General features: G+C 40.6%; 1 long non-coding RNA gene across 1 annotated transcript in view; it reads left to right on the top strand.

The window, feature by feature from the left end:
• Positions 1–22,997, top strand: part of LOC102724465 (uncharacterized) — a 379,687-nt gene that overhangs the window by 335,256 nt on the left and 21,434 nt on the right. Inside the window, exon 12 of the long non-coding RNA NR_187944.1 lies at positions 12,886–13,051. This is a non-coding gene — a long non-coding RNA (uncharacterized LOC102724465). The remainder of the gene's footprint in view (positions 1–12,885; positions 13,052–22,997) is intronic.

The following is a 22,997-nucleotide window of genomic DNA, read 5'->3' as shown; positions in this document are numbered from 1 at the left end:
TGCATGCATGCTGGCTGGATGGTGGGGGTCCTCGTGCACGTTCTGGTAGGGTGGAGGCAAGTCCACACTTGTGCATGCCAGTGGGTAGTGGCAGGGTCCCAAGTATGTGCACCATGGCAGGGTAGCAAGGGGAGGCTGTGGACAGAGGCACTCCAGCAGAGAAGGCTGTGACTAGGCTGCACACTGGTAGGGTTCTTCCTACATTACTCTGACAGATAGGCAGGGTCTGCAAGTGAAAAAACCATGGTAGTGGTTACTACCAAGCTGAGGCTGTACTATAAGCAGATATTGCCAGAGCCCAGCAGACAGGGGAGTTCTAAGACAAGATTAGCCCCATCCCACAGGCAAGACAGCCCTGCTTAGCCCGGGCACCACAGTTAACCAAGGCTGAAGCCTCCTAGAGAAGTATGGCAAGCCTTGGGGGATGGGCACACATGGCTGAACTCCACTGCAGCCATTCTTGTGCCAAACATTCTGGCCTCCATGCAAGCTGGAGTTCTGTTTATGCCAACTTTCCAGGCAGTTCCCCCTTGTCAACTCAGATGTCCATGGGGATTGTGAGGTTTCTCACAGCTAGAATCCTTGAGATCCATGGCAACAGTAGGCTACTCTCTGCCTATGTTTCTCATCTTTCCCTAGGAGCCTCTTGAGGCCAGGAACAAGTCCTGGTGCTCAGCAACCCTGTGCATGATTCCTAGTTTCCTTTCCTTTCAAACTGAGGTTGGTATCCTCCCTCTGTCCACTCACAATGCATTCTTTCTGTAGATCTGCTTACAGTGTGACAATCTACTTGATGGTCTGGTCTTTCTCGGTGGGAGAAGCTCCTCCTGGCTGCATCTAGTCAACCATCTTGCAGGGTCTGCTCATACATTTTCTTCCAACAGCTTTATAGTTTTAGCTCTTATGTCTATGATATGTCTATGATCCATTTTGAATTAATTTTTGTCTGTGGTGTTGTTCTAGTTACCGTTTGTTGAAAAGATGACTCTGTCTCTCAATGAATCTTCTTGCTACCCTTGTCAAAAATCACTTGACTGTAAATGCAATGTGTTCTGTTTCTACTTTTTAACATGGAAAGTTTTGAGAGTCTAGGAAACTACTGGTGACAAAACTCTGTTACATAGTACCGCAGTCAAACCAAGTCTCTCTAGGGCTGCCTGTGTCCCAGAGCCATATGTTACACAGCCAGCCTCTATTTAGCTCACCTAGTTATATCTTTCAAGTATCTAATGAATTGGAGAGTTAGGGTAGAAGAGAAGTAATGATAATAATGATAATAAGAATAGTAAATTTTGAGAACCTACTATGCATCATGGACTATTTAAAGCATGCATTGTCTCATATAATTCTCACAACCATCTTACCCAGGTTGGTACTCTTGAAGAAAGAGAGCAATTAAAAAAAGTGATGCATGGAAATTAAGAAATTTATTCAAGGTGACTAATCTAGGAAATGGTAAAATACGGCTGTAAAGCCAGATGATGTACCTCTGGAGTTTGCCCAATCAATTACTACTCTAGACTCCATTAAATAATCAAGAATTCACCAATTTTTCAAAGTAATTGATCTGTTTTTATTTTGGTATCACTTTGTGACTCTCAAATGCAGAGGAGCCTAGGTCTTGAAGTGAGCCACTTCACAGAAACCTCTGAAGTTGATAAAACAGCTAATATTGTAAATTTTAGTCCAGAATTTTAAAGAGGAAACCATAATTCTTTTGCATAGGATTCACTAAATCAGTGAATAGAAGTGCCCACAACAGTGCCCTGAATGTGAAGGTTGGATATGGATATGTGGTTGGGAAAGATCATGGCTTTTGGAGCCAAATAACCATGAATCTAATGTGTGACATGGGCTAGGATCTTACCTCTATCAGCTGTCATATATGCAAACGGAACAGTGAAAATATTCAGGATTGTTATGAGAATTTACTGATAATATAACTGCCTGGCACAATGCCTACCACATAGAACAAGTTCAATAAGTGCTATTTTTGCTTTATTATGATGATGGTTATTTTCTCCAAATAGGAAATAGGTTCCAAAACATGGCTGAAAACATGTTTAACTCACAGTTGGATTGGCAAACGGAAGTATTATTGTATACTTTTCAATAGAGTTAGGGAAAATATACTATACTACTTTCTGGAAGCTCAACCCTACTTTCTATCTGCCTTATCTCCTAACTTGAATGGTTGGGTGCCCACAGCCCTTTTGCATTAAATTTTACATTGATTTTTATGACCCTGTTATTCCATGTAATATCTGAGTACTCCGACTTCTCAGTATCTCTCTCCCCCTCCCTGGTGTGGTATGAAATAAAGTTCATAGCAGCATTATAATAGATCCGCCAGAATCCAAAAGTGGAGGTTACCAAGTAATTATCTGAAGGAGACTCCAAAAATGTCTATTTTTATGTTCATATATAAAAATGGTTTTAAAGTTAGGGCAAGCCAAAACATGTCCCAGTTTATGTTCTCAGAGATTGTGACTTCAAATGCTATTCTCTGTCATTTTTTTCTTCACTCAAAAAAGAAATAATAAACAGAGCCAAAGCAACCAAGGTCTTGGTTGGGGCTCAATCCTTAAGAAGGGTGGAGCTCTTTTCTTTCTTTGGGGGTAGGGGTGGGAGTTGGGTTGGCAGACAGGTGCTGTTCTCTGGAATGGGTACCCCATCTTTATAGACTGCCTCCAGGACCCACATCTATCTCCTATTATGATATAATCTTTGGCCCATCTGTTCTATTTATAAACCCTGTGGGGCCTTTTAATGTTGACCCTTAATATGAGCTCAACTTAATGTTAGGAAAGGATATTTAACTAACCTTTGCTCTTAGAAATTGCTAAAACTGTCCATTAATCTATCATTCATACTCAGGTACCTATCTTCTATCCACATTACCATCTCTGCCAAGCAGGTAAAATGCAGAGGCTTTTGAAAAAATTGGATCCATTGGGATGTAGAGGACTAGTTGTCCTGAAATTAGCAAAAAACCTGGGGACCAGCTAGGTCAGTATTTTCTTACCAGGGATGCTTCTATACCCAGAGAATCCCAGAATCAGCTTACTTATTGAAATCCCTAACAATGACCTTTTCCATAATTCTCATGCCTGCTGGCAAACACAATGAGCTGCCTTCTGCCAATTGTATCTGCCGAAGGCTAGCAGAGTGATGATCTCAGATATAGAACTTCCCCCAATCCCTTTTGTACCACAGGAATGCTTGATGATTGCTATTCTACTCCTGCCAGTTCCTTCTTCCTAGTGGGTTCTTATGGCTCTCTCTTTATCTTTAAGCATAATTAATTGGTTCAAAGTGTTAATGCTGCAATGCAGGCATGTAAGTACTGCATCTCGGACCCAGGGAATTGGGAGCTCATCTCTCCTCACAGATGGCTGCATGGAAGTGTGAGGTGAAAGTAAGGCCTGCAATTCGACTTGTGAAGTGTCTTGGGACCCACACGATGGGTGTCTGGGGGTGCTGTAAAGATATCATGATTAAACAAACGGGTGGTATTAGATTGTATCACATGCTGCTATCTTTTATTGTGCTATAAAATGGCTCATTTAGGGATAAATGGGAATTTAAACTTTTCTGCTGTGATCTGTTGTCCCATAGGTTTTTAACATAATTCAGTCACTCTCTCACCCCCTTACTCCTATACCCTCAACCCTCACATTGCTCACTTTTCTTTTCTTTTCTTTTCTTTTTCTCTCTCTTTCTGTCGCTTTCTCTTTTTCTTTCTCTTTCTTTCTTTCTCTTTCTCTCCTTCCCCTTCCCTTCCCTCTTTCCTTTTCTTTCTTTCTTTTTTTTTTTCTTGAATCCAAACCTCTTAGTTCTGTCATCATTAATTATGGGAATTTTTTTTACCAGGTTATTAAATTCTCTGAGGCTGTTCTTTTTGTCTCTAAAACTGAGATAATACCCATTTCCTAAGGTTGTTGAGAGTTTAAATGAACTATAATATTCATAGATAAAATCTTGCACTGCTCCTAGGCTTAATAGGTTCTCAGTTAATGTGAGTTCTTTTCTCTTTCTTCCTAAAAATTATATTGCAGAAAATGGATGGGGAGATCTGTGGCCTAATGCTTCAACCTTTGTGGGAACAGAAATTAGGATGGCTGAATGATAGGTCAAATGTTCCCACTGCCTTACTAAAGGCTTCCCTGAATGGGAGAAGGGATGCTAAAGTGGAGGTGACAGGACAAAATTTGTTCCAGGACAATAAAATCTACCAGTGTTACAGGCCAAACTGTGTATCTACTCCATATTTCTATGCTGAAGTCCTAACCTCCAGTGCCTCATCAAGTGGTTATATTTGGAGATAGAGTCTTTAAAAAGATAACCAAGTTAAACTGAGGTCATTAGTTTAACTCATGAGGTGGGCTCCAATCCTGGTGTCTTTATAAGAGGGAGGAGGTTAGGAAAGGAAGACCCTGTTAAGACATCCAAAGAAGACAGCCATCTACCAGCCAAGGAAAAGGGCCTCAGGGAAGAACCAAACCAAAACAAAAGACCAGGAGTTGTGAGAGGCCTCCAAAATGGTAAGAAAATAAATTTATGTTGTTTTAAGCCACCCAGTCTGTAGTGCTTTTCAAAAGTAGCCCTAGGAAGCTAATTCTATGAGGAACTTATGGTCCATATTTCTGTAATTATAAAACTAATGTCAGCTACAGGAGGATAAAGCAGAAATATTTAGGTTATGAAGGGACCATAGTTTAGAAATATGAAGGGGGACCTGGGGGCTAAATATGTCATAAACTGACGAAGGAATGGTCTGACTATCTGAGTTACAAAATGTAAAAAGCTAAGCAATTGAAGACAAGGCATGCTTCACCTCAGAGCTGACAGGCTGGTGTCAGCCATGCCTCTGCAGAATGCCTTTCCAGCAGCCACTGAGAATTATCTCTGCCTTTTAATCCTCTCATTGCAGAGTTGTTTCAGGCAGATTATTCCTAAAAACCTCATGTAATTAATATCAATTATTTAGATTTGCTGCTTTAGTCAGTGTCAGATTTTTCAGCACAGGACAAGATGTTATTACTATTATTACTGCTAATTATGGAGTTGAGTCTATATTGACAATTGGATTCAAAAATGGGAAAATCAAGGTTTAGTTATTGCTAAACTTTAGGAGCAGGAAAACTTGAAGTTGGAATCATTATTCTTTATCGAGGAGTTACCTTCCGGTAGTTCCTTGGGCTATGGGGTGAGGGTTTGGCGATACACTGCCTGTGTTCCACCCCGACTTTGCCCCATGTTAGCTATGTAACTTTGGCCGTGCGTTGCTGTCTCTGTGCCTATGTTTCCCCATTTGTAAAAGTGGGGTGATGTTAGGGTCTACTTCACTGTGAAGTTGCTGTGAAGTTTAAATGAGGTAATACATGTAAAGCCTTCAGAACAAGCCTTAGCACATGTAATTTCCAAACACATGAGAGATTGCATTATTAATATTGTTAAGATTCTATTCCAGAATGTACACCAAGGGACAAGTGTGTAATATGGTAGATGAGGAGTTGGGTCAACTGAGATGTGAATTCCAGCTCTGTCACTCACAGGTCAAGTGAGCAAATTACCTGAGTTCTCTGAGGTTCAGTTCTCTCACTTGAAGAAAGGGGATAATAGTATCTACCTCACTGGAGTACCAGGTGTGTGATGAATATTAATTGCTCTGATTTGTTGAGTATTTGTGACTTCCCAGGTACTGTTCTGATAGCTTTATCCCATCCACTAAATTAACACTTTCTTCAAATCTATGTGATAGGTACTATTACATTCATGTTTCAGACAAAGAAAGTAAGAATTGGAGAGGGTGAATGATTGGTTTGAGAAGTCACTCTGCTTCTCACTGGCAGTGCCAAACAATCTGACTCATCAGGCTTGCCACTAACTACCCTTATTTCCGTTAAGGATTCTCCTACCTTTTCCTATTCCCATCCAGCCTCTCATCTGATTTCTAACTCTGATGTCCTACTCCTAGGGAACTGAAACTTACACTTTTGCTAAAACCTTCAGCAACCATTAGATTGAATACATGATATATTGGCCACTTACTGACATGCACGTTGTTCCCAATTTTTTTAAAAGAGTTTTAATAATAAAGTCAATTAGAAAACTCTAATGGCAGCCCATTTTCTCAGAATGCCCTGTGCTACATAGGTCTCCTGAGTGAATGTTCTGTTCGCTTTGGAATTACATTGCTCTCTGCTAGTGTAATCACCCATTTATTCATAAAAGAAATATTTATTCAGCTGACAGTAGATACTAGAGGCTGTTCTGGGTTCTGGAAATAAAGCGTTGACAAAAACATTAAAGGATTCCTGCCCTAATAGAATATTCTAGAGGAAGAGAGAGATAAATATAAACATAAAATATAAATTTATTTTATAAAAATAAATGTTATGTAATTTTATATTCATATATATTAATATGTATATGTATGTTATAGATATAATGCCTATTTATATTTTATAAAAATATATTTTATAGTTTTATATTTATATATTTTATATATTATATAAAATGTAATTTATATAATATGTACATTTATAAAAATATTTTTATATATATATATATATCTCCATTCATTTGTTCATTGTCTCTCTCCCTCCTGTAGAATGTTAGCTCCATTAGGGCAGGAATGTTTTAATGTTTTTGTCACTGCTGTACTTCTAGAACTCAGAACAGCATCTAGTACCTAGTGTCAGCTTAGTAAATATCTCTTCCATGAATGAATGGGTAACTACACCAGCAGAGAGCCATCTAATTGTATATGTAATGGTTATATAATGTATAATAGTTATATATATATACACATACACACACACACACACACACACACACACACACACATATATATGTATATTATTATTTATTTTTTGAGACGGAGGCTCGCTCTTGTTGCCCAGGCTGGAGTGCAGTGGTGCAATCTCAGCTTACTGCAAGCTCCGCCTCCCAGGTTCAAGTGATTCTCCTGCCTTAGCCTCTCAAGTAGCTGGGATTACAGGCACCCGCCACCACGCCTGGCTAATTTTTGTATTTTTAATAGAGACAGGATTTCACCATGTTGGCCAGTCTGGTCTCAAATTCCTGACCTCAGGTGATCCACCCACCTTGACCTCCCAAAGTGTTGGGATTACAGGCATGAGCCACTGTGCCCGGCCTATATCTATATTATATATAGAATATATAAATATAATGCCAGAGACCAGAAGTACTTTGGAAAGATAGGCTGGTATAGCAGCTGGGTGTAGACTCTGGAGCCAGACTCTTTGATTTAATGTCAGCTCTGTCTCCTGCCAACTGCGTGACCTTGGGCAGATTTTAACCTCTCTGTGCCTTTATTGTCTTCTCTGTAGAGTAGGGGTGACAATAATCTCATAGCATTGTTATGAAACTTAAATGAGTTAACACTGTAATCTCATTTATAAGAATGTATTCTTTATACATGCTTGATAAATAAATGGAGAGAAAAGTAGAGCAGAGAAGGATATAGTGAGTGTTAGAAGGGATGCCATTCAGTTTATAAGGGGGAGATCACTAAGAAGGTGACGTTTTGCAGTAGAGGAGCACTTCTATGCTTTCTAAGCAGAGTGAACCAGAAGAGTCATTACTCTGATGTGGAAATTTGCAGGACATGTTTGAATAATAGCGTGGATATGGGATATGAGAGAAAGGAAATAATCAAAGAGGGCTGCAAGGACTTCGGCCTAAAGAGGGCTAACTGAGATGAGGAGATTGGGATGCAGCAGGAGATTAGGGTGAGAGAAGATGGGGAGTACATGTTAGGTTTGAGGTTTGTCTTGGATATCTTAACGGAGACATGGAAAGGTGGCCACAGGAGTCTCAAGTCTAAGAGAGAGGCTCACACTGGAAATATAAGCTTCAGAGTCCTTGACATGTGCATGATGTTTAAAGTAAAGAGACTGTATGGAGCACCAAGGGAGTGAGGGTAGATAAGAAAGAGGAGCAAGATTGGAGCCCTGGAATATCATCCTGAAATTAAGAGACTGGAGAAAAGGGGAGGTATTAGCCAAGGCTGCTGAGAAATGGCCAGTGTAATGGGAAGAAAATCAAGAAAGCATAGTGTCTTGGAAGCAAAGTGAAAGGGGAAAAAATGTGTTTGAATTAGAAGGGAATGATCAACTGCCCTAAATGCTGATGACAAGTCAAGTAAAATTGGCTGAGAATTGACCATTGGTTTGAATAATGTAAAGGTAATTGACAACCTTGACAAATATGATTTTGGTGGACTGGCAAGAGCATATACATCGCTGAATTTAAGACACTTAACAAGTAATTGGAGGAGAGGAATTAGACACCGAGTACAGGCAAATCCTTCAAATAATTTTGCTGCTATTTATTATTCAATTTTAAATTATTTAAACTTATATGAATTTGCTGTAAGAGGTGGGAGGTCAAGTACAAATGTTAAAGAGTGAACAAATACAATGGTGAAGAAGTTCTCTAATGATTGTTTAATTATAAACTGAAAGGAAGAGTTAGGGAAAAGATGTTAGAAGTTGGAAGAAAAGGGAAAAAGTATGAAAGTGTTCTCCTGGAGAGTGAGTGATGGGATCGAGGATTTGGCATGAGATTCCTGGATATAAGCAAGAGCCCAATGTAGTCTCCTGACTACATAAAATGATGCAGGACAGTACATTTGTAAGTCATTCTACGGCCGTGTTCTACAGCCAGGATGCAAGCAGGAAGTAGGCTGAGAGCTGGGTTTAATTAGGGTTCTGGTTTTGCCAGTTGTATGCTGTGAAGGTCAAGATAAGCGAGGGAAATGAGGGTATATTTAAGGAGTGATTATAATGAAGGACAATGGAATTTAAACTGGGAAGAAGGGAAGAGACCACTGGGAAGAGAAAGTGCAAAGGTGTTGTCAAGATTTTATTGGATGGCTGGGCGCGGTGCATTCATGCCTGTAATCTCAGCAATTTGGGAGGCTGAGGTGGGCAGATCGCCTGAGGTTAGGAATTCGAGACCAGCCTTGCCAACATGGTGAAACCCTGTCTTTATTAAAAATACAACAATTAGTCAGGTGTGGTGGTGGGTGCCTGTAGTCCCAGCTGCTTGGGAGGCTGAGGCAGAAGAATTGATTGAACATGGGAGGCGGAGGTTGCAGTGAGTTGAGATCACACCACTGCACTCCAGCCTGGGAGACAGAGTGAGATTCTGTCTTAAAAAAAAGATTTAATTGGAGTTTAGCCACCTGAAATAACTATTGGGAAAGAAAGGAAGTGGTGGTGCATAGAACTATGACTGTGGATGGGCTATGGCTCTTGGTAGTGATGGGGTCAATATTATGAGCCTAAAAGTAGAGGCTGAGGTAGAGTGAAGAACAAAACCAGTGAGGGAAAAAGCTCAAGGAATTGAATTCTGAGTGTGGAGAATGTCTTTACATGTGTAGGAAAAAAAAATCAATGAGTAAGAGTTGTGTGGAGGGCCGGACACAAGCTGGAGGGAAAATATTAAGGGAGCACACAGGAGTCAAGAATAACTGAAACAAGGAGCAGATGTTCTTTATATAATCTGATGTCAAGCGATTCAAAGTTGGAGGTTTTAGGGCTGGAAGGGAAACACAGAGGGAGAAAAGTCTGAAGAGGAAGTGAGGACCAAGGAAGATGCCCTCTTCACTGCCCGCTACCACTTGAGAGGGCTGCAGGGAAAGCAGCTCTCAGGGGGACTCCAGTTTCAGTGACAGTGAGAAGTCGAAAGGGAAATTCAGAGAAAAGTTTGGGAATATAGGACGTGGGCTGGGTGCGGTGGCCTCATGCCTGTAATCCCAGCAATTTGGGAGGCCGAGGCGGGAGGATCACTTGAGCCCAGGAGTTCAAAAATATAGGAGATTATGTTGCCAATGGGCTGGGAATTCTAGGGGGTGAAGTGAAAGGTTTTAGAAGCCAGGGGGTTGTGGATGCAGGGAATAGAGGATGTGACATGCAAAGCCTTTCGGGGATTGAACTAAGAGGGCTGAAGATGACCTGTAATTTGGGAGTTTCTTACAATATAAACTAGAATAAGGGGCAACATGAGATTAATTCCTAGTGGACTTTAAGTATGTGATAGTGAATATTGGGGGCAGGCAAGTTTACATTCTGGGATACCTTCTAGATCTCCATGGATGAGGGCCAGGGGTGGAGAAAGTGTGGAATTAGTCTGTAAGCATGCACATCTGTCTTGATGACTGGTGGGGAAGGGTGGAGTTATTCAGTGTGCAGGGCTCTTCTCTGATAATCATGGGTGGAACTGAGTAGGTTTGGGGACCTTCAGCAATATTCCCTGCACCCAGACCCCTGTTAATACTTATCAATGGACACTGAATAAATTCATAGAAAGTTGCGTTAACTAATGAAGCTAGGCACCCATTGACCTACCTGCTGGTAGTTTCAAGGCTGAAAGTTTTCACACTGTGGTTAAATAGACTACACAGCTGGCTGTGTTGTACTGAGGACTCTTAGAGTGGGAAATGCTACTGGCAATCCATCAAAAGCAGATGTCTGCAGTACCCGGCAGTGCTTTAAAATCCCCTTAGGCAGTGGCCACAGGAAAATTAAAACTTCTTGCAATGAAATGCTAGTTTTCATATATGTCCCAGGGTAAGAATTCCTCGGATCTCCCTACACCCTAGTTTTGAGAGACATAGCAGTACCATTCACTGCTTGATGGGCCTCCTTGTGACTCCTTCTGAGGGTAGCAAATGGCTGATTCCAAGGAAGTCACTTGGACTTCCTTGTGGTTACTGTTGATGCTAATTTGGCTCTGTTGTCAAAGTGCCTGCAATTCCCAGTGCTCTGCAGGACAGAAATACATAGGTTGATGGGCAGATAGATGACAAGTGGAAACATCAGGCAGGCTAAACTGTTGAGCTGTAAGTGAGAGGAGAGTGGATAGAGAACACTGACAGACAGCAAAGAAAAAAAGTGACAAAGAATAGATTCCCTAGAGGACAATTAGCACACCATGAAAACATAACCTAGTGAAACAACAGCTCTGAGTTCTAAAGACAAATCTCAATTAAGTCTTCAGATGGTTCCCTGCTAAGAGTTAATAAATTAGTTTATTCTTCATAGCTAACTGCATAGTTCTTTCAAGCACCCATGTCCCCATCTGTTTCATTAACAGATTAACTTAAATCCATAAAATTAGCAAAGAAACAGAGCAACTGGCCTAAGATAAGTGACCAGAATTCATTCCTGGAATAGCCTTCAGAAGAGCCTCTACAGGGGTAAAAACCGAAGAATCAAAGATATTTTTCAAGGATAAAATTTGCTTTGAGTTTTCATTAGTTTTTCAGTATATGAAATATGAGTAAAAGACCAGGGGTACAGAAATAAGTTGAATGCATTGTTTTTCCTTGTGATACTCAAAAGGTAACCACCAGGATTCCAACATAGTGCTGGCCCAAAGTCACCTTTGAACTGGGAGATTCTCATGGAAATTCTAACAGAATAAACTCTGGTCAGTTTCTCCTTATCTTTTTTAAAATATAAGTGCGTGCAGATGAGGACTGAGCTACATTTGCTGTGTTACAGTCTGGACCTTGACGGCAGGTAGAGTTGGATAAAAAGCAAAACAATGGACATTGTTAGGAAGTCCGTTGTCTTCTGCCTTCCAGTGGAGGGGGATTTTGTCCCTCTCACCAACGGGGAAGAATGGTTGGTTTTATTGGGTCCTGCTAAGAGAGGGAATAAAATTTAAAAAGGATAAATAATTGTACATTTGCCAAAACAGAGATCTTTGGTGAGCGTGGCCAGGAAAGGTTTTATGGAGTGGTAGGGACAGAAGTCAGATGAGAATGGATTGAAGAGCATGGGAAAGGAGGAATTGGAGACAGCATGCATAAACAACACCAGAGAAGTCTGACTATTAAAAATGAGGGATATAAGGCTATAGTTTGGATGGGGAAATGGAAGGTTAGTTACACTGAGATAGTGGAGCTTGTTTGCTAATGAGAGTAAGCCAGAAGGCAGACTGGAAGAAAGTGATGAAGCAGGAGACAGTGGGGGAAATTGAGGGAGGAAATTTTTGAGGAGGCCAGAGGAGAGAGAAATCCCTTCAACAAGAGGAGAAACAAAAAAGGAAAAAAAGAAAATGAGAAAGGGTGAGACTTAGCCACTACAGTTGCCTGCCTGCTAGGACCGTGCAATGTTACTGTTATACTGTGGTGGATGTTTACAGAGAGATATATTCATTGTTGATTTGGACTTGATGGGTGCTTAGTTTGGGCTTTCTCTCCTTTTGGTAAACTTTCTATTTGTAACCCAAATTTTGATTTTTTGAAGTGATGGAGGATTGCAAAAAAAATTATGTCTTTTGTAATAACCTGTTTTTTATGAACTCATCATTGCTTAGGGAAAAAATATGTTGCATTTTCTAAGACAGCATCAACAGAATAGGGCAGGGAGAATATTATCTCTAAAAGCTTCTGCATCATCCTCTTAAAATGTTAATGTCCCATTTCCAGCTGAACAGATAAGCCTCTACTACTTGGATGCAACTAGTCCTAATGAATGTGAGTGCCAAGCTCAAAAATAAAGAACCCGCTTTTGATTGCAGAAAGCATCTTTCACAAGGAAAAAAAAATTAAGTCATTATTTAAAAATTGTTCCATTAGTGTACCATGAACAAAGGAGAGTGAGCTTGAAAAAATGAAACAGCTTTTATTTTTGAGCACTTTATTTTCAATGGGATTATAAACAAGATTCTCATGAAACTCTTCAAACAGAACATGAGGATGAAATATTGAGTTGCTTTGGTCCACTTATTGTCTGCCAGAATTGTTTTTGTTTTGCTTCCTTAATTCAGTTGCAAGTTGTTTTTTTGTTATTGTTGAGTAGGGGAAATGAAGGGGCATCTGGATGCTCTTCTGCGCTACAGGTTGCAATACGAAGTGGAGTTAAAGCAACTAGAAGGAAGTGTCAGTAACCAAGCTGAGAGAGGCTGGAAGGAAAACAATTCATGCAGCAGAAAAGAAAGCCTTTTGAGCACTGTGATGTCAGAAGGTGACTTGGAAGATGATCTAAATGTTAAACTGGCAGTGAAGGTGAGTTTGCTTCTTTTTCCTGGGACACACTATTCCCTAATTTTAATTGAAGTAGATGTAGCAAATGTAAGGTTATTGCCAAAGCTATTTTATACTTTTTGAGAATATATGTAATCATACCCACAAACACCCACACACATAAACATGCATATAAATGTCATTGAGATGGATTTGTTCCTAAAAAGACCTGCAGCCTAATTTTGAGACCTGTGGTTTGGAGAAGGTTGAGAAGAATTTTCCCATTATTAATATGGACCCAGGCCAGCTTGAAGACAGACACTCAATCATAATTTGTAGGCACTGAAGTGGCTAAAATGAACATACAACATTGTTTAACTCAACCCCAGAGCTAAGGAAACACGTACCCTTTCCCCTTGGGGTAAAAAACTAGTTGAAATGATATCCTTGTCCCAGATTGCCCTTGTAGATCCACAAAAGAACACACACAGATCTGAATATGAATCAGCCCCCTCTATACACATTGCTTTTCTCTTATCTCTGCTACATTACTCACTATATTATTCATAAATTATTATTTTGGTTCATGCTCTTTCTTTAGTAAACTCTAGCTACAAGTATAAAGGAGATGGAGGTCCTCTACCAATATTTCCTTAGGGTTAGGAAATGTGATCACAGGATATATGAACACAGATGTATTATTCACCCAAAGCTGTGAAAGTCATAAGACTGGCAAAGATACATCATACCTGAGAAATGAGACAGCCAGTGGTGCTCCTGCTGCCAGCTCTTTATACACTAACCGAGGATGATAAGCTTTCTAGTTATGGCCACGGAGTCATAACACACCAAATCAACAGTCAAATGCAATCCAATGAATGGTCAGCTCAATTACAAAATAAAACTAAGTAAGGGAAATTAATATTAGTTGTCCTGGTATGTCCTCTAAAGACTTACTGAAAAAAAAAAAAAAGAAACACTTAAAATAAATTCATTTGTGGTAGTTCTAACCATCTTTTTTTCCTTTTATTATCTTTCTGCCCTAAAGTGTTTACTTTTTTCAAATTTCCTGTTGGAATCAATAAGGTAACATGGCATTCACAAGAGTCATAGTAAGGCAAGCTTACCTCGAGTGTTTGACTTATAAAGATCAAGGTTAAGTAAGAGACAGAAGCTGTAAGCAGAAGAACCCCCAGCAGCAGGTTAATCAGTGACATTAAGGTGTTGTTTGTTTGTTTGTTTGAGATGGGAGTCTCACTCTGTCGTCCAGGCTGTAGTGCAGTGGCACGATCTCGGCTCACCGCAACCTCTGCCTCCCAGGCTCAAGCGATTCTCCTGACTCAGCCACACAAGCAGCTGGGATTACAAGCGTGCACCCCTATGCATGGCAAATTTTTTGCATTTTTAGTAGAGATGGGGTTTCACCATGTTGGCCAGGCTGGTCTCAAACTCCTGGCCTCAAGTGATCTGCCTGCCTTGGCCTCCCAAAATACTGGAATTAGGGGCATGAGCCACTGTGCCTAGCCAGTGACATTAATGTTTAAAGAAAGAATCTTCCAACTAAGGCAGACCAAATTCACACACACACATACACACACACACACACACACAGATCCATAGAGACCCATGGCGGGTTATATCCCACTCACCTCCCAGCAGGATCCTAGGAGATGGTATCACAGTCCCAGTACAAGAGACATTCCTTGGAAGAGGCCCCCTTCCCTCCAGCCATTTATCTCCCTTGGCCCCACAACTCCTTCTCCTCCTCATCAAAGCAAAATACCTGGCTTGAGTCATCTTTGTCTAAAACAAGAGTTAAGCTGAGCTTGCCTATTTCTCTTTCTAGTTGTTTTGTTAAAAAAATTAATTAAAAGGACACTGGGGCTGGGCGCAGTGGCTCATGCCTGTAATCCAAGCATTTTGGGAGGCTGAGGCGGGTGGATCATTTGAGGACAGGAGTTTGAGAGCAGCCTGACCAACATGTTGAAACCCTGTCTCTACTAAAAATACAAAAAATTAGCCAGGTGGTAGTGGTGTGTGCTTTTAATCCCAGCTACTCGGGAGGCTGAGGCAGGAGAATCACTTGAGCCTGGGAGGTGGAGGTTGAGGTGAGCTGAGATCGCACCACCGCACTCCAGTCTGGGTGACCAAGTGAGACTCTGTCTCAAAACAAAACAAAAACAAACAAAAAACAGAAAAGAGGACATTGGGCCTAGAGGGCTCCAATGCCTTGGGTAGGCAAACAAGCCTATTGTAAACAGTTAAATGAAACTTACGCAGAGCCAATCAGAAACCACTAACTTACTTCTAAGTAAGGGACTTTCCACTCTAACCAATCAAAGCCTAGCCTTGCCCTTGCTTCTGTAAATATCTTATAAATGGTTTCTTCTCTACCTCTGCACACCATATCCCCCCATGGAGTGCTGAACTGCCTACAATGGAGTCCTGCCTGATTGGTGAATTTACGAATGCTCAAAAAACTCATTAAAATTTTAATGTGCCTAAGTTTATCTTGGAACAGTTCTAGAGAGTCATCTATTTCAATTGATACTTTCTTCAGAATCTGTTTTGTCCTTGGCCTGCCCTGAGATCCATTCCTACGTTTTTCCTGACCTTCCTTCTACACGCTTGCATTATTTTGGCCTTTCAGGCTGAGATAGCCATGGGGAGGGACTTCTGGGAGCCTGGAGTAGGGAAGAAGGAAGCCAGGGGATTGTGGCCCCTGCTCTCTGGGGAAAGCAACTCAGCAGTGACCACCTCTTCTTGAACTCCTCAGGGGCTTCACTTTCCTCCTGACAAACCCTAGGCTCAGTGATCCCAGCTGCTGGACTCTGGAATACATCTTCTCCCTTTCCCTTCAGCCAGGGGTGGCACTTGCTACCTGCCTGTCACTAGATTTTAGATTGCTTCAAGTCCTATGTTAGCTTCAAAACATTTCCATCACCCATGTAACAAATTTCCTTCAACGTGGTTCCCTTAGATTTAAATTCAAATTTTTATTTTTATTTTGAGGTTAGAGTCTGTCCTACCATGTTGTCATCAAGTCCCGTTCATTTTGACTGATTTACTCTCACATCCTTATTGCCAGTCCCATAGCATGAGTGCCTTCCGAAGCAGGTAACCTTCCCAGCAACAACAGGGCCAGTGCCTGCCCCACTGGCCCTGCAGAGGCCCTTGATATAGCATTTTCCCAAGCCCTGCATTCATCATCTGTTCCAGAGCCTAACGTAATCAACACATAGCTGGCATTCATTGAACACTTTCTTTAAAGTGCCATTCACTCTGTTCGCACACTAAGGGCATTACAGACGTGATCTCATCTAATCCTTACAGCAACCCAACCAGCAAGTTGCTTTTGCTGTTGTCTTTTCCAGATGCGCAGAGGTTGTAGTTCTGCTCCCCTCCCCGTCAGGTTTGTGCTTTTTGCTATTCTCTACCAAGTCATGCATGTGTTCACCTCTGCTCCTTTGCATAGCATTCTCCATTTCTAAAGCTCGCTCCTTGGCACTAACCTCATTTAAATCAAACACATTTCTCTCTAAGTCCCTTTCTCTATGAAGCTTTCTACCTCGGAGAACCTTAACTCTGAACTTTAAGAGCAATGGTTCATACATTTGTTTTGCCAGAAAATATTAGATTCAACTGAAAACTTCCCTGGAAGTGACAAGTGGATAAAAAGCACTCCTCTGCTTTAAAAAGTCTCTCTCTCCAGTGAGGGACTGCATAGAATGGATTTTGAAAATAACTTTTAGGACCACAGATTCTCTAGGTCAAAGCTCTATAGCTGTGGACTTATGAGATATGTTACAAGTAATTTACTACTAATTAAACTTTCCATATCAAAGTTTGAAAATGATTTACTCCGCCATGCTTTTTAAAAACCTTCTTACAAATTGGGATAGATGTGGAGGTATATATCTTGCACGTGTTTTTCCTTTATTTAGCAAATTTAGAGACAGTGTTCTGAACTTGTCTCCTCATTGCTCCTTAAACAGAGCTCTGTGTAACAGATGCTGAGTACTAAATGCTTTTTTTGGAAAAGAACAGTCTGGGGGTCATTGTGGACACTTGCTGCTTTTGGCTGTCTAGCCTTCACTCCTTTTGCTTGGTGTCAGCCCACTCTCATCTCTTTGGGGGAACTTGCTTTCCCTCTTGTGTGTAGTGTTGGTGGGACATCAAATCAGGGTTCTCTGCCCAACACCAGTCAAGGAAGACTCATGTGATCTAAGCCAGGCTAACTGGGTGCTCTCACTGAGGAGAGTAACCACTGGTTAGAAAGAATGGAGTTCTTTTAATACTTATCAAATAGCTCCTTCTATCTCGACCCTGGGCCCGCCTTGATTCCTGTCCCCTTTTATTTTCTGGTTAAGTAGGCTTTCAGTTCTGAGAATTACCTGTTCCCATTCCAGTAAGTTTCTTTTGTCATAAGTTATAACCAGAGACTTTCCCTGTTGCTTACAACCAAATAACCTTAACAAGTAACGTAACTATCTTATAGATTCCAGCTTTAAGTGCCCCAGCAAAGACAAATCTGCTCACAACATGAGAAGGGCAGTGAAATCCTAGAATCCAGCTTGTTTTAATCCAGATGACTTGATATTTTAATCCAAAGATATTTGCTGGGGAACTGAAGCAGTGCACAACCATTTTTTTGCCATGTAAATCTGCACAACCATATGTAGCAGCATGGAAAGTCCCCTCCATTATTGAAGGCAGCTTGGATTTAATCCAATTCAATGATGTAGATACTGGAGTACGCATCCCCAGAAAAGGTGTGAAAGAGAGTAGGTCCAAAATATATGTCCCAGTTGGAAGTGGAAAACTTGGCTGAGTTTTGGAGCATACTCCTCTGAGTAGGAAACTTCCAAAGTTAGATTATGATGGTCCTGTTGTAACAGCACAAGAGAGGGAAATTGAGCCTTGGGAACCTGTATCAGCAATGTGGCATTTTTGGTGGATTTCCCTTCTGAACCTCTATTCCCTTCTCCACCTACAAGATTACCATATACAGATGGTCTTGATTACTTGCCACACTGGGGAATGCATTGGGAGAGTAAATTGATGGAAAAGCAAGTTCCTCCAAAAGATTATTGTGTTGGCCTGCATGGCACACACTCAATGATGGTTATTAGTTAACCCTGAGCACCAGCAATCTGTTCTGCTTAACTCCACCAATGGGGGCAGATGGGGCAGATGAGCCCATCCTGAAGGAAGACTTGTCCCAGAATTGATATTTCCCATTAAGGAAGGAGAGGGAATGGGTTTTCTGTGTGACTGAGGGAAGCTTCTGGCTTGTGGACCTTTTACCAGAATGATGTGCAACTAGAAACCACAAGGTTTAGCTCACAGCCTCAGACCAGGTCATCTAGAAGATTTTACTGAACTTTCTGAGATTACCAAGGACACTTGTCTGTGTGTGGCATCTAGGGGAGTCATGAACTTGCCTGTTCTCTCCAATGTTGGCTTTTTTTTTTTTTTTAATGTCATTAAGTCTCCAAATGATGTCTCTGAGTCCATTTCCACTTAGATAGGATTATCCATTCATATGGTCAATGTGTCTTGTTTTAGGCTGAGCTTCTCATGCGTGAAATTTGTTGTCTTCCTTTTAAGGTGTTTACTGCCTCAGTGACCTTTACATTTGACAAAAAGGTTTTTTAATCCACCAGACTGTTGCTTTTCTAAGTGGTTTCTCCTCTGACTGGCATCACTGAGTGGACTTTCCCTGTTTACAGGAACTATTAAGACATTTTGTCTTTTGTGTCAAATCAAAACTGTGCTTTTATTCACCTTTACTTTTTTAAGTTTGCTTTAAGTGACAATGCATGCACTTACCTAAGATAATCAATCACATCAGTATATGTGAAGCATGACCACAATACGTTAACAGTAGATGCAGAATTCCATTCATTTCTCCTGTTCTCTCAGAGCGTGGATGAGAACAGTTCAGAGTTAAAAGGTAATAATAGATTAAAATTCCTCCTAAGGCTGTGAAGACCAGGACTGGATGATATATAAACTGACTTATAGATTATTCCAGTTTTAGTGGGTGGGTATTGGCATTGAGGCCTTTGCTCCAAACCCTCATCGGACATAAAGAGGTTTGGTTTCAGATCTCCCAACAGAACAGAGAAAACACCAGTGACTACTAAAGTGGATTGTGCTTTTTGCCTATGGCCCGTTACCATGGGCAACCAACACTCTGTGGAGGACTTGTGTATTGCAGAGAGTGCTAACATCTCTTTAAAAAACAGTTTAGTGCAAACATTTAGGATGTGTGGCCTGGCTTTACCATTCACTCCTTGTGTAATTTTGAACAAGTCACTTCATTTCATTTCTCCAGGATGACATGTATCATCAACTACCAGGAGGTTTGAGCAATGTAATATATAAAAGAATTCTCTACATTTTAAAGCTCTAAGTATAGGCTATTTTTGATACTATCATTTAGATCGTACCTAAGTTAAGAAAAAATAAATTCATTATCTCACAAATGAGCTTCTCTTCACTAACATCTGTTGACAGCCTCCTGAAGGCCAGGCACTCTGCTAGGCATTTGACACTTGTTTATTTTTACCGACAACACATGAGATAGTGTTATCTCCATGTTTACATTGGGGGAATCTTATGATCTGAGAGGAAACGTGAGTCACCCACGGTTACACAGTGATGGAGCTTAGATTGAACACAGGTTTCTCTGACCCTATAGCCTAAGCGTTGTTTGTTGGTTTGCTTGCTTTTAACATGAAAAGCATGTAATCCAGACATGGAAACAGTTGTCTCCTCCATTCTATCGCAAGCATCTTGTGATCTTTCTGGATTTGATCAGCAGCACTTGAGAAAGCATCAGCTTGTTATTTCATTAGCTCAGATGAGTAAAAAACACCACCCTGTGACAGTATTAAGGATAACGCTGCCATGATAATGCAGCCAAACACGATCAAAAACAACTACATTATCAAAAAAATCACTTTTAACTACAAATTGTGACTAATTAGACTTTGAATATAAAATCAAACGAAAATGCATGAAGGCTCAATTTTCCAGACAGCTGACAGTCTGACCCTTTTAGGAGTGTGAATGAAAATTATTTTTTAATTCACATGCCTAATCATTTTCCATCATTTTGAGGTAATTGGCTTTGTCTATGAGGGGGTGTTGTGGGGTGCTACTCTGCTCCATGGCTAGTTACAGCTGGCACGTTTAACCACAGGGAGCTTTGGAGGCATGCTCTATGCTAGCTTGGGGATTCCCCCATCTCAGAATCATCAGAGGGAGAAGTTCACAGTCCCATTTGTTTGTGTATGTTTATTTCTTTTTCTGATAAACAGAACTGTTTGGTTTCATTAGTGAGTCTTTTGAGAGTTGCTCCTCTCACCATGCAACTTTGTCCCCCCATGTATAGGAAAGACAGAAAGCAGGATCTGTTCCTTCTCTTGTCTCCACTAGGGACAACACTCTTTTCCTGGCTGTGTGTGAGGACGGTCTATCTCTTGTTTAGTCTGTTCCTCAGTTCTTCAGGAACCAAGAAGGGGCCAGGACATAGGTTACCCTTGCTCATAATGCCAACGAGAATTGGAAGCATCATTCTATGCTCTATGCCCAAGAGTATAATTGCAAGGGACTGTGAAACTATGGTTTGTGGTTTCTCTTTAATCCAAACACTCTTTCTCAATACATCTTTTATAGGGACACCAAGCTGGAGCCATCTGTTTGGCCCCTTTTTCCTGGTCTCTCAGGTCCTGGGGTAATTCTGAAGAGTGATGTGACTGCAAAACATGTATGGTTGTTTTCTGCTGGTATCAATTGATTTTTCTAGAATAACTTTGATGTATTCTTTGAGGTCAAGATCACCTTGCCTCCACTGCCACCACTGCCACCAGGGCAATAGAAAGGAATGAAATGGATAAACAGTTCCAAAAGCACAATTCTGTCACAGCTGGGTTTCCAACCTGATATCAGGAACACCTTTGGCCTGGGGCAAGGTGTTGGGGACTGCTAGCTGTCCTCCTTGTCTTTTACCCTTGGTTCTCAGATGATTCATTGCAGTAACTGTTTTGGGCAGTGTGGTCATTATATGATATTGAGTCTTCTGTTGAAGAGCATGAGTTGTCTTTCCACTTGTGTCCTCTTCAATTTCTTTCATCAATGTTTTCTGGTTTTCCTTGCGAAGATCTTTCCCCTCCTCAGTGAAATTTATTCCTAGGTATTTTTGTAGCCACTAGAAATGGGAATAACTCCTTGATTTCTTTTTCAAGTGTTTTATTACTGATGTATAGAAATGCTACTGATTTCATGCATTGATTTTGTATCCTGCATCTTTACTGAATTTATCAGCTCGAAGAGTTTTTTGGTGGAGTCTTTTAATCTTTCTGAATATAAGAGCATGTCATCTGCAAAGAGGCACAATTTGACTTCCTCTTTTCTCATGTGGATGCCTTTTATTTCTTTATCTTGCCTGATTGCTCTGGCAAGGACTTCCAGTACTACAATTAATGAGAGAAAGGCACAGCGAGTTTTCATATGCCCCTGCCTTCCCACGTGCATGGCTTCCCCCATAATCAACATCCCTCCCCAGAATAATACATTATTACAATTAATTAATCTACACTGACACATCATTATCATCCAAAGTACATAGTTTACGTTAGGGTTCACTCTTGGTGTTTTACATTCTGCAGGATAGGACAAATACGTAATGATATGTGTCTAGCATTATAGTGTCATATAGAGCTTAATATTTTTTTGAATTTGATAATATATCTTTTTAACAATATATATTTCCCACACCAGTGCACATTAATCTAACTCAATTTTAAGCTATAGGAGTGTACTCAACTATAATTTGTATTTATTTCCTCTATTTGGACATTTTGATTGATTTTGAATTTTTTGTGATTACAGACAAGGCTGCGGTCAGCATCCTTGTATAAATATTGCGGTGTGTATGTGTACATCTTTGTGAACAAATACTTCTTGGACATATACCAAAGAGTGAAGTTGATAAATTAAGATTATTTAAATTTTAAAGGATATTGCCAAATTGCCCACCAAAACAGCTGTGTAAATTGATACTCCTATGAGCAGTGTACAAGATTATCCACATTCTCATACTCTTATCAAAACTTGATGTTATCAAACATCTATAATTTTTGACAACCTTGTGAGGAATAGTGTCTCACTAATGCTTTAGTTTTACTTTCCTGGTGATTAGTAATGTTGACTATATTTTTATAGCTTCTTGGCCATGGGATTTTTTTTTAATTTTCTTTGCTTATATCCTTTGTTTGTACTTCTATTCAGTCTTTCTGATTCTTGACACTTGCCTCAAGTGAACAATCATCTGATTGACCGTAATCTCTAATTAACAGCATGGCAAAGGATATGGGATTTGAAGTCAGCCATATCTAGTTTCAAATCTGAGTCATGCCCCTCCTGAGGTCTGTAACTGCAGCAAATTATACTTATGCCTGTCTGCTTTCCTGTTGATCACATGGGGAAAATAATGCCTACCTTATAAGGTGGGTGTGTGTGTGTGCACATATGTGTTAAGATGAATATATATGTGAAATGGGCAATTGGTCATTTTGACCTACCCAATAGAGTTATCGAGTCTGCCCAGTTTTATATCACAATCTTGCCAGATTCCCAACTTTGTCTCTTCAGCTCTTGATTTAGTGTTTACCCTATACCCACAGCAATGGGGGCAGCTGACTCACATTTGTTAAATAAGTTTCAGGGCTGAAGCTTGATACAGTTGAATCCTGTATAATTATTCTTTCTCTGCTTGGATTCTGAACCTCAGGTCTGGTTGGTCCTCTGAAGTCACCACATCTGCATGCCTCTTCCTTCTGTATGTACCCACCTCCATTGGGCTCTGCTGTGTGAATATAATGCTGTGCAATGGAGCTATCATCTTAGCCTGATGCCCCAGTCTCCCCCACTTCCATTGCTCTTTCTTGAGTCAAGACTCGACCTGGCATTTTTGGAT

This window comes from Homo sapiens, chromosome 15 (assembly GCF_000001405.40).
Source record: "Homo sapiens chromosome 15, GRCh38.p14 Primary Assembly".
Lineage (NCBI taxonomy): Eukaryota > Metazoa > Chordata > Mammalia > Primates > Hominidae > Homo > Homo sapiens.
This window is presented reverse-complemented; position numbering and strand designations above follow the sequence as displayed.